This window comes from Homo sapiens, chromosome X (genome assembly GCF_000001405.40).
Source record: "Homo sapiens chromosome X, GRCh38.p14 Primary Assembly".
NCBI classification, from domain to species: domain Eukaryota; kingdom Metazoa; phylum Chordata; class Mammalia; order Primates; family Hominidae; genus Homo; species Homo sapiens.
The window spans coordinates 107,567,575-107,579,846 of NC_000023.11; the positions used below are offsets into that span (position 1 = coordinate 107,567,575).

Genomic DNA, 12,272 nt, shown 5'->3' on the forward strand with positions numbered 1-12,272 from the left:
CAAGCACAGAAATAAGCAAGCCATATGTGCAGGTCGATAAGCATAGTTGCTTGGCTGGAGAGGAGAATAACGAGAAAAGAGATTGAAGAGATTGGGGGTGGGCAGAACAAGTTGGTTAAAAGCCTCAAAGGCCAGTCTGTGGAATTTAGATTCAATGTGGTAGAACAGTGAGAATCCACAGTAGGTCTTTGAGCAGAGGGGTGATCAAATAAAAGTTGATTTGGACCAGGGTGCAAGATGGGGGAGAGCAAAGCTAATGTCGAGCTAGGGCAGTGAGGAGGGGATCATGGCACTAGTCCAGGAGTGAAGGGACAAGGGCCTGTGCTGGAGGGACAGCAGTGGTAATGAGAAAAAAAGAGGAGATGTGAAATATGCAAAATCAGTAAGATGTGGGTGCATATTCTCCCCTGCATACCACTCTTGCACAGACAATGCACGTGTCTTATTATACCTAGCCCTTCTGCCTACTTCATGGGTCCCAAGTACTCTGAAGAATGGTACTATGTGCCCAGCAGAAGCAAAATGGATGATATTGTAGTGAAAAGAGAAAGGGAAGATTGAGGGAGAAAAAAAGATCAAGGTTTAGATTTGACAGTCATTTAGTATGAACTTGCTGTTGCTGGGAAGCATGCTAAACACAGAATTTATTTTATTTTATTTTATTATTATACTTTAAGTTTTAGGGTACATGTGCACAATGTGCAGGTTTGTTACATATGTATACATGTGCCATGTTGGTGTGCTGCACCCATTAACTCGTCATTTAGCATTAGGTATATCTCCTAATGCTATCCCTCCCCCCTCCCCCCACCCCACAACAGTCCTCCAGAATTTTTTGTTTTTTAAATAAAGAGGCTGGGCACAGTCGCTCATGCCTGTAATCCCAGCATTTTGGGAGGCCAAGGGAGGCAGATCACTTGAAGTCAGGAGTTCGAAACCAGCCTGGCCAACATGGTGAAATCCTGTCTCCACTAAATCTCCACTAAAAATGCAAAAAAAAAAAAAAAAAATCAGCTGGGCGTGGTGGCACACACCTGTAATCCCAGCTACTTGGGAGGCTGAGGCGGGAGAATTGCTTGAACCTGGGAGGCAGAGGTTGCAGTGAGCCGAGATCATGCCACTGCATCCCAGCCTGGGGGACAAAGTGAGACTCCGTCTCAAAAAAATAGAAAAAAAATTAAAAGACAGAAAAAAACATGGCTTGCTGGGTGCAGTGGCTCATGCCTGTAGTTCCAGAACTTAGGAAGGCACAAGTGAGAGGATAACTTGAGCCCAGGAGTTCAAGACCTGCCTGGGCAATATAGTGAGACCCTGTTCTCCACAAAAATGAAAGAGAGAGAGAGAGAGAGAGAGAGGGAGAGAGAGAGAGAGAGAGAGAACCATGGCTCCTTGCCTTCAAAAAGCTTACCTAGCTTGTAGGATAGAAATGGACATATACAGCCCTGCACGGTGGCTAATGCCTGTAATCCCAGCACTTTGGGAGGCTGAGGCGGGCAGATCACCTGAGATCAGGAGTTCAAGACCAGCCTGGCCAACATGGCAAAACCCTGTCTCTACTAAAAATACAAAAATTAGCCACGCATCGTGGCGCACACCTGTAATCCCAGCTATTCTGGAGGCTGAGGCAGGAGAATCCCTTGAACCCAGGAGGTGGAAGTTGGAGTGAGCCCAGATTGTGCCACCACACTACAGCCTGGGTGACAGAGCGAGACTCCATCTCAAAAAAAAAAAAAAAAAAAAAAAGCACAAATACATGGCACACAGAAGGAAGTGCCATAGGAGAGCTACCAAGAGCATGTTAGGGGAGTACAGGGAAGGACAAAATTCTGGCTGGGGGTATTAAGGAAAGCTTCTTAGAGGTGCTTATATCAGCAATATTTGTGTTTAGTAAGAGGTGGCTCTGGGAAGGAATTGGGAGAGCAGGGTTGGGAAGCTTCTTACTAGAGAATGGCTTCCCTGGGCTCAGTAAGAATCTACCCACCGAGCCAGTGGTGTGCTGGAGCTGGCTCACACAGTGCATCAGAGCCAGCTGGGCACATCTCTCCCCATCTCTTTGTTCAGTGCCATCATGTTAATAGTTTGAAAGCAGCCATGGTGGGTGTATGTACACCAGGGAAATTGGCCAATGCTACAAATTACTACTTGAAAGAACTGGCTGTGGGCTGGGTGCAGTGGCTCACGCCTGTAATCTAGCACTTTGGGAGGCTGAGATGGGTGGATTGTTTGAGGCCAGTAGTTTCAGACCATCTTGACCAACATGGCGAAACTCTGTCTCTACTAAAAATACAAAAATTAGCTGGGCATGGTGGCTTGCGCCTGTAATCCCAGCTACTCAGGAGGTTGAGGTGGGAGGATGGCTGGAGCCTAGGAGGCAGAGGTTGCAGTGAGCCGTGATCATGCCACTGCACTCCAGCTTGGGTGACAGAGCAAGAGACAGTCAAAAAAAAAAGGAAAGAAAGAAAGATGAAAGAAAGAAAGAAAGAGAAAAGAAAAGAAAAGAAAGGAAGGAAAGAGAGAAAGAAAGAAAGAGAGAGAGAAAAAGAGAGCGAGGAAGGAAGGAAGGAAGGGAGGGAAGGAAAGGAAAGGAAGGAAGGGAAGGAGGGAGGAAGGGGGGAGCGGGGGAGGGAGGCAGGAAGGAAAGGAAAGAAAGGAAAGAAAGAACTGCTTGTGAAATGTTTACCAGCACACAACTGCATAGGTTACACTGAAGAAGGACTGTCTGAACATCCTTAACAGGGGACATGGAAGTTAGAAACCAGACTTGGCCCATTTCCCCCTAGACAGGCCACTCTGGTCTGGTAATATTCTGTAAGGGTCTGGTGAAATTAAGATGGTTCATTTAAAGTAGTTCTCAGCCCTGACTGCACATTAGAATCATATGTAGAGATTTAAAAACCACTGGATGCCCAGACTCTTCCTCCCAGACCATTTAAAATAAGAATTCTGGGGGGTTGGGGCCCAGGGGTATACAGGTCTTTACCACTTCCAGGTGATTCTAATTTGTATCTGGCCTGAGAACCACTACCTTAAGTGATATTCTGCCTTGCCCCCAAATTGGCTGGCTGTGCCCAATTAGCCTTTCCCAGTGCTGTGGAGGCAAGAACCAAATATACTGATCCCTTGGGTCTCTAGACCATCATCTTTTACCCTTCCCCTCCAGGCCCCTTGATTCCATCCTTTTCCTGTTTTCAGGGATGCTAGAGTGAGCGAAGGCTACCCCAGGGAAAATCCTTTTCCTAGTTGGCATTTCAGAGTGCTAAGTGCCTGTTAGCTCCCAGGGCACCCTGGGAAGGAGATGTAGCTGAAGCATGTCAAATTAATCCCTGCTGTACCTTCTTCTGGCTGGCTCATGCCTCCAACTCCATTCTCCTTTCCTCATGCTACATTTGAAGATGGCCTGGGCATATTAATTAGTTTTCACTCAGCTTACTTGCTCTTAGTGGAGCAAACATGAGGTAGTATTCAAATATCTTTCTTCAAGAGATGGCAGCCTGGGACTGAGGCATACCTGGGCCATTACCATACCCCATTACCACAGAAGCACATAAGGTGGAAAAAGAAATCATCAAAGGAATGTCCCAAGGGATATCTTGTGGCCCAGTATGTGTCCTATTCTCATGTTTGAGCTTTATTTCTCTAGTGATCTCTGTAGGGACAAGCGTTACATTACACGTCATGATCATTAAAATCCTATCTAAAATAAAAAATTGTTTTTGAAGGTTTCTAAGGAACCTGTCCAACCTTTTTGTTTGCCTGCTTTTGATTTCATTTTTACCTGTTGGCAAAAATTTCATTTTTCTCTTGGCAAAAATTTCATTTTTCTCTTGGCAAAAAGTGCATTTGTGTTCCTTTTACTGCGAGCTGCATTTGGCCCATGCTGGGGCCAAGTTGGCTGTCTGGGGATGACAAGGAGAGGCTCCTGATGAGCTGTGCTGTGCTGAGCCAGCTGGGGTTGTGCTTGGCCCTCTCTGTGCACGGGATTTTGCTTTCGTGCTGTTTTATTACTGGCACTGGGCTATCTTGGGGGTAAGAGGGGAAACTGAAGTGGTCAGACAATGAAGTCAATCAGCCATTCTCCCAGCCTCCAGTCAGTAATTCTGTCCATTAGCCAGCCAACCAGCCAGCCAGGCAGCTCAGCGGTCAGAATGTGAGGCTGTTAGGCATTCTGTCTGTCCTGAGCTGGCTTGTCAACCAGGGCATGAGTGAGTCAGACTGCCCTGCAGCCGGCCAGCTCATTAGTCAGCCAGCCATTCAGCCTCTACTTTGGTCAAATGGTCTCACATTATATTTGTCAGCCAATGCTATTTTCTCAAAGCTGTCTCCAGTGTCTGAAACCAAATTAGTCACACACGCACACATTCACACTTACCCACCCACGTACCACTCCAGGACATTCTACGTTTGGGTAGCTCTCTATACGTTTTCCTCAAAGTACTTATCACACCTCGCAATCATATTTATTTGCATGGTTATTTGATTTGGGTTATGTCTTATTTCCTGCTCGATTGTAAGCTCCATGAGGGCAGGAACTAGGTTGGCCTAGTCCTGGAATGAATGGATGCATCTTTCACTTGGTCATGTTCTCCAGGAGGCATCTAGCCAGTTTATGGCAGCTTGTTGGGTGGACAAAGCAGGGCACAGGAGCATTTCAGCCAGAGGGAACAGCATAGGTTAAGGTATGAAGATGTGAAGGAACATGAGGAACTGTATTTGTAATTGCTGGAGTATAAGGTGAGGGACAGTGATGGGAGGGGAGCACCAGTGGAGTTAATGGGAGATATGGTTGGAGATGGAGGTTGGGTCCAGGTCCTGAAGGGATTTGTATGCCATTGTAAGGCAGTTGGATTTTCTACAGGTGATGAGCTATTGAAGATTTTAAATAACAATGAGACTTGTGCTTTAGAAAGAGCCTTCAGACTTTGGGAGCCTGAGACGGGTGGATCACTGAAAGTCAGGAGTTCGAGACTAGCCTGACCAACATGGTGAAACACCATCTCTACTAAAAATACAAAAATTAGTCAGATGTGGTGGCACACACCTGTAATCCCAGCTACTTGGTAGGCTGAGACAGGAGAATCGCTTGAACCCAGGAGGCAGAGGCTGCAGTGAGCCGAGATTCTGCCATTGCACTCTAGCGTGGGCATCAGAGTGAGACTCTGTCTCAAAAAAAAAATAAAAAAGCCTTCAGGGTCATTCAGGGTGTCTCATGCCTGTAATCTCAGCACTTTGGGAGGCTGAGGTGGGAGGATCACTTGAGGCCAGGAGTTTGAGACCAGCCTGGAAAACATAGTAAGACCACATCTCCACTACTACTACTACTACTACTACTACTACTAATAATAATAATAATAATAAAGTAGAAAAGAATCTTCAGGCAACAATATGGAGGTGAAGTGGATTCAAGTGGGTAGAAACTAGAGGGAGAAAGGCCAGTCAAGAGGTTATTGGAGGTTCTTGGGTTAGTGTATCCCAACCTTTTCCATATCATGAGAAATGTCACAATTTATATAACAAAACATACAAACAAACGAGGCATACATATATACCAGATGAGGCAGCTTGCGGCCAAAGGCAATAGGACTGAGAAGCCGAGAGGCTCAGTATCTCAGCACACAGGCCACCCACTCACAAGTACCTTGAGGAGTTTTGATCTGGCAGGAAGATGATAAGGTCCTGAAATGAAGCAGTGGCAGTAGGGATGGCCGCGATGTGAAAACACCTGAGGCAAGCCTAGTGAGTCTTGGGCCCTCGTGGTAGCCGCCATTTACACTCAAACCTCTGTATCTGTATATCCTTCTGCCATCAGTGGCAGGGCTACAGTGGCAGCAAGACAGCAAGAAGGGGTATCTGACTCCCTGCCCCCCAAGTTCATTTCCTTTCCATACTTTTTTGTCTTTATTTTGTTGTATGCAAGTTTGGCCATTCTGTTGTGACTGAGAAACATTCATTAACTGGAGGTACGAAAGTCCCTTCTACCCCTTCCTAATAATGACTAAAAAGTAATACCTGTCTCTGGCCCCTTTCTCACTGGAAAAAAAAGCCATTGCTCCTCAAGGTACAAACTGTTCCTTTTTCCTCCCAATGGTATTGCATGAACTCCATAGGAGCATCACTAACTTGTTGCCTTAAAGTTGGGGCAGAGTCCAAATGCCTTATTGTGGCATGCATTGTAATTGAATGTACAACAACTATGAAAGAATTCAAGTTAGTATTTGATCCAACACAAGACTGTGTGGTATAGACATAGCACCATATGATTTCTGCAATAGGAAAAGAATTTAAAGGAGTAGACTGGGCATGTTGATTTTTGAATCTCCAGCATAGAGGTTAAAGCAGACACCCTGATGGAGAAGAATTGAGGGCTGTAGACTGAGCCTAGGATATAGCTAGGGCGAGGAGGTTGCACATGAAGAACCAACCAAAGAGAGAGATGAAGATGGTCAGATTACAGAACCGGAACACATCTCACAGAAACAGAAGCCAAGAGAAGAATTTCCAAAGAAGGTGATTGCTGTTAGCAAATGTAATAACTTGAGATGTGTGATGAATGAATACAGTTGTTTCTAGCTGTAAAGAAGTTTCACTTCAGCGAGCGCTGTGGCTCATGCCTGTAAATCCCAGCACTTTGGGAGGCCAAGGAGGATCACTTGTGCCCAGGAGTTCAAGACCAACCTGGGCAACATAGTGAGACCCTGTCTCTATTGAAAAAAAAAAAAGGCAAAAAAGAAGTTTCACTTCTAGATCAGGTGGCTAACTATGGCCCATGAGCCAAATCTGACTCACTGCCTGTTTCTGTAAATAAAGTTCTGTTAGAACACAGTCATGCCTATTTGTTTAGTTTACAGATTATCTGTGGCTATTTCCACACTATGTACAATGGCAGAGTTGTTGTGACAGAGCCCGTATGGCCCACAGTGCCTAAAATATTTACTCACTAGCCCTTTATAGAAAATGTGTGTTGACCCCTGGCCTATATGAACTACAAAATATTCAACTCAGGCTCTGTGTTGGAATCCTGGGAAAAAGAAAACCACTGCAACTTTAGCTAACAGCTGAGCTGGTTTGGAATCAGAATTGAGCCCAAGGTAATGGTGATTCAGCCAAGGAAGGCTAATCTAGTTAGTGATCAAGTTCTGTCAGGTCTTCATAATGTCCCTTCCTTTTCACTGGACCAGCCACCACCCTAGTGGAGGCCCTAACCACCTCTCTCCTAGACTGTTGCAGTAGCCTCCTCATTGGTCAGAGAAGGGCCTCATTTCCTCTGCCTAATTCTCCTATTTCTTAATGCCTGGTCTGGGTGACCCACAGCCCCATGGCTCCCTCTTTAGCCAGTCTTCAGTGATCTTTATCTGGAAACCACTGCCCTATTCCAAGGAGAATGTTCCCAAGGCTGACTTCAGTCTGACTCAAACTTGGTCAAGCCATAGTTAAAATTACAATACAGATACTAGGAGGTTTTCTTGAAATAGTGCTGATTTTCTTGAATAGCATTGCCTGGTCTCTGAAGCAGTTAACCAGTTAACCCCAGGACTAATCTGACTGATTTAGAGTTAGGAACAGAAGTCAACAATGTATGCTAGTATTTCCCAAGGTGGGTTAACAACAACAACAACCTTGTTACCATGAGATTTTCTATAAAAATAGATCTTTGTGGTCTAATAAATTCAGAAAACTTAGAATATTAAAGCCTTTCTTTTGAGGTTTCCCAGTGCACAACTATATATTAAAGGGTCTTATGAATTCTCATAGTAAAACTATCTGCATAGTGTTATTTAACCCAATGTCACAAACATATTTGACTAAGGAGCTCTTTTAATAAGCACCAATTAACAATATCTCAAGGACACAGGGAAATAAAGGAAAGGGGATAGAGCATGACTCTTTTTTTTTTTTTTAGACGAAGTCTCACTCTGTCACCCAGGTTGGAGTGCAATGGCGCCATCTTGGCTCACTGCAACCTCCACCTCCCTGATTCAAGCAGTTCTCCTGCCTCAGCCTCTGGAGTAGCTGGGATTACTGGCGCCTGCCACCACGCCAGGCTAATTTTTGTATTTTTAGTAGAGACGGGGTTTCACCATGTTGGCCAGGCTGGTCTCGAACCCCTGACCTCAGATGATCCTCCTGCCTCGGCCTCCCAAAGTGCTGGGATTACAGGCATGAGCCACCGCGCCGGGCCGAGCATGACGCTCTGAGCAGAGCTGCAGGCCAGAAAGACTTTGGCCCAAAAGGCAGAGTTACAACTTGATTCCACAGAGATTCCTCCATGTCCAGGGAGGTGTTCTGGGTGTTACAGGGGCATGTGAAGATGAGCAAGACATAGCTCTTGCACCCAAGGGACTTAGAATCGAGGGTGTTCTAGGCCATTCTGAAGTCTAATCTAAATTCCCAGCTTTACCCCGCTCTCCCGGCTGGCCTGTGTATCTGCTGAGCCCTGGCAAACACAAATACAGCTACACAGCAGTCACATGAGGTTATATAATTTTAGTCCTTTTCAGCAAAGGTGGTTCATTAAATGTATAATTAAAGGTTGATTTAATTTTGATACCTGGGTAAGAGGTTATTACAAAGAAATTCTCAAATCAGAATAAACTATTTGTCAAGCCATGTGCCTCAATTTTTGGTTCAGACAGTATGGTTCCTTTAACTATGCAAGTCATCTTTTGCTAGCTACCATGCCTCTGAAAATGCATCTGCCTCCCTCCTTCCCATGTCTTCATGTTTCTTCCCTTCTCTTCTGCAGCCTCTGGTGCTGTTGATGGAGTGGCCTGAAGCCACCAACTTTGCCTGCCTGATCGCGGGGTACTGCCGCCTCTTGCTGGATTCCAGGAAGATGGTCTTCTCCAGGCCTGCCAGCCAGCCACTTCCACCTCCAATGATCAAGGCAGGTAGGGCTCAACCTCGGTTGGTTTTTGCTGTGCCAGAGGCCCTTTGGACCCTGAAGACATGGAGGGAAGAGCTTCTCTGCCTTAGTGCTCACCCCGTGCCAACAGTGCCTGATTTGCCAGGAGCCAACACTGTACCACTATATCCTAGCTGGCACAGCCCAGTGGGAAAGACAGCTGGCCTTCACATGTACTTGTTTCACAAAGGATACCTGTGACAACATTGTGATTGAGTCAGCCAATGAATGTATTATTAAAATAGCAAACATGATAAATAGAGCCAATTAAATGGCTGCATTGGATCTAAGGCAAACTTAGCGGTGCAGAGATCTAGAGGAAACTTACAGGTGTTCTGGCTCAGTTGAAGTGAAGATGAAAATGAATATAAAGGTCTGATGAAAAGGAGGTGGCTCAAAGAACAGGTACTTCACATATTAGACCTAAGGCTCATGTAGATGCAGTAAGTGCTCCCCAACCCCAGCACCCAGAAATAATGAGTGAAGCTGAGACTGACATCCAGTAGTTTGCTCTCCTCACATGCTGAATACTCTCAACCCACTTGCCCTTGCTGCTTGACTATTTCTTTCTTCAAGGCTGTGGTTTTCTGAGTAGTCATATCACACTTTGGGAGGCTGAGGCAGGCGGATCACTTGAGGTCAGGAGTCTGAAACCAGCCTGGCTAACAAGGTGAAACCCTGTCTCTACTAAAAAAAAAAAAAAAAAAAAAAAAAAAATACAAAAAATAGGCCAGGCATGGTGGCTCACACCAGTAATTCCAGCACTTTGGGAGGCTGAGGTGGGCAGATCACCTGAGGTCAGGAGTTTGAGACCAGTCTGGCCAACATGGTGAAACCCCATCTCTACCAAAAATACAAAAATTAGCTGGACGTGGTGGTGTGGACCTATAGTCCCAGCTGTTTGGGAGGCTGAGGCAGGAGAATCACTTGAATCTAGAAGGCGGAGGTTGTAGTGAGCTGAGATCACGCCACTGCACTCCAGCCTGGGTGACAGAGTGAGACTGTCTCAAAAAAAAAAAAAAAAAAAAAGCCAAGTGTGGTGGTAGGTCCCTGTAATCCCAGCTACTCGGGAGGCTGAGACAGGAGAATCGCTTGAACCCTGGAGGCAGAGGTTGCAGTGAGCCGAGATCCCGCCTTTTTACTTCAGCCTGGGCGACAGAGCAAAACTCCCTCTCAAAAACAAACAAACAAACAAACAGTAGTCAGATCAGATCTCGATCGAGGTGTTTGAGAGCAGACACATACTCCTGATGGATGGCCCAGACCTAGAAGGCTGTGGACACCCCCCACCCACACACATCTTCTCACCTCTTGTCTCTTCATCACGATCATCATGACATGCCTGAGTTTACATCTCATGACATTGTCCATAGGAACTAAATGGCAATGCACCAAACACAGATTTGGGAAAGGATAGGTGGCCCCAAGGCATATGAAGGAGATTCCACATAGAAAAGCAAAGGAGCTGACTTAGGATAGTAAGAAACCAGGGGGCTGAGTTGCTTCAAGTCTCCAGGTGAACAGCTCTGAAGGGGCGGCCATACTAGCAAACCTACAGATGGCCGAATGATGAAAAAGCCAGCATTAGCATTATCACTGTCACTTCTGCTCTTCCTCTCTCTAATCACATCCAAGTAAACTATACCTCCTACTGAACAGGCTAGAGAGGGAGAAAATGAAAAGGGAAGATAAAGTGAAGAACCTGGAGCCCAGCCAAAGACCAAATGTGACAGTGAAGATTATTTGGAGGGAATCCACTTTCAGAAGGCACTGGAGGTGGCTCTGTAGTCCCACCCTACCTAACAAACAGTTTTTTGTCATCCCATCAGCACCCTAGCCAATGCTGGCCCCAAGTATTCCCCTTGCTCTGGGGATAGTGGCACCAAGCACAAGAGGGATATGTGCTTCAGTGCAGCCTCACTGAACACATTCCAACATGCCATGTTGCTTTTCCAAAGGCAAATCTGTTTTCTTGCATTCTCTATGGGCTAGGTGTGGCTTTAAAACACCCCACCCCCCACCACCTTCCTGACTTCTGAGATCCGCCTTCGGCCTGCAGAATGATGGGGGCTCATGTTGCCTCTAGCACAGGGCCTCTGTGTCCATGCGGGAGCCAGATGGACCACTGTGATGTCTCTGTTTTTGTGGTACTTCTCCCTCTTGGGGTAGAAATAATCAGCTTAGGGGCAGAGACCTACAGAAAGTTCTGCTCTTCCTTCGCCATCTCTTCTGGCCAGAAACATGAGAACTTGAACTAGGCATCATCTCCCTAGGTACATGGTTTAAATCTTGGGCCCTGTTACTTAGCTTTTTGAACTGTTAGGTGCTCTTGGTGGGTGGAGTGGGGCAGAGTGAGCCTCACAGCTCTACCTGGGTTCACTGAGCTGCCACTGCCCCAGCAAAGTTCTAGGACTTGGTGTGCACATTTTGTCTCATGGCCGCTAAGAAGGGAAGGGCACAACTGAGGAGACCTCAGCTCAGGTTACAGTGAAGGGATTATCCGTTCCTGATATTGTAGACTTTTAGGACCAAGGTCCGAAGTTGAGATCAGTTTCCTACACCAGCCCTTACTTTCATCCCAGAACAGAAGCCCCAATGCCAACTGTTGTTCCTTAACAAAGGCCAATAGGGAATAGGCATCCTCCCAACCTTATCTGGGCTTTTCCCCCAGGGTCCAAAGCCACAGCCTGGTTAGGTCCTGGTCTCTCAGAAAAGGGAGGAAGAGGTCTGGCCAGCTCTATTCTTGTCCCACAGCAGCTACTGGCTGTCAGCAAGTCCAACTCAGGGCTCAGCCTATTGGGCCTAAAGGATGAAGTTAAACCAGCAACTGGGAAAGTGAAAACATCACCTTCCTTCAAGTCTCAGAAAAAAAAGGAGAATGGGGACATGGTAGGGAAGGGACTCCCTCTTGGGCTTTATCAGTAGCTTCACCAAAGGTACTACACTTATTCACTTAACAAATCAAGCACTCATCATGTGCCAGGTGCAGAAGCAGCAGCCATGAATAACAGACATAGTCCTTATGATCCTTGCCCTCACATAGGTTACAATCTAGTAGAGGGGAAATACTGACAGATGATTAAAAGGATAAGGCTAATAACGTAAGTACTTTTGCATTTATATATAAGAGATTCAATAGATACAACAGAGCAGCGCCTGGGTTTGAGGGCCCAGAAAGGCTTTGAGCTTAGAGAAAGGTCCAGAAAAATGCCAGTTCTCTATCTGTAATGAGGTTGTGGGCAATCTAAAGGCAGCTACCATCTTTCTGCAGCCCTGAGCTCTCTGTATCCTGGGGTAATCCAGGAAAAAAAGGCTTTGAGGGCCTCAGTTGGAGGAACTCACTCTACGTTTTCTACCATGGTTAGAAAACAGT

The 12,272-nt window shown here is 46.1% G+C and overlaps 1 protein-coding gene across 8 annotated transcripts in view; it reads left to right on the top strand.

Annotated features, from left to right (window-relative positions):
* The window catches only part of FRMPD3 (FERM and PDZ domain containing 3), a 155,600-nt gene that overhangs the window by 117,923 nt on the left and 25,405 nt on the right, over positions 1-12,272 (top strand). For all 8 annotated transcript variants that reach the window (NM_001388459.1, NM_001388462.1, NM_032428.2 and 5 more), the window contains one exon: positions 8,741-8,885. In NM_001388459.1, the coding sequence (NP_001375388.1) occupies positions 8,741-8,885 (145 nt within the window). The remainder of the gene's footprint in view (positions 1-8,740; positions 8,886-12,272) is intronic.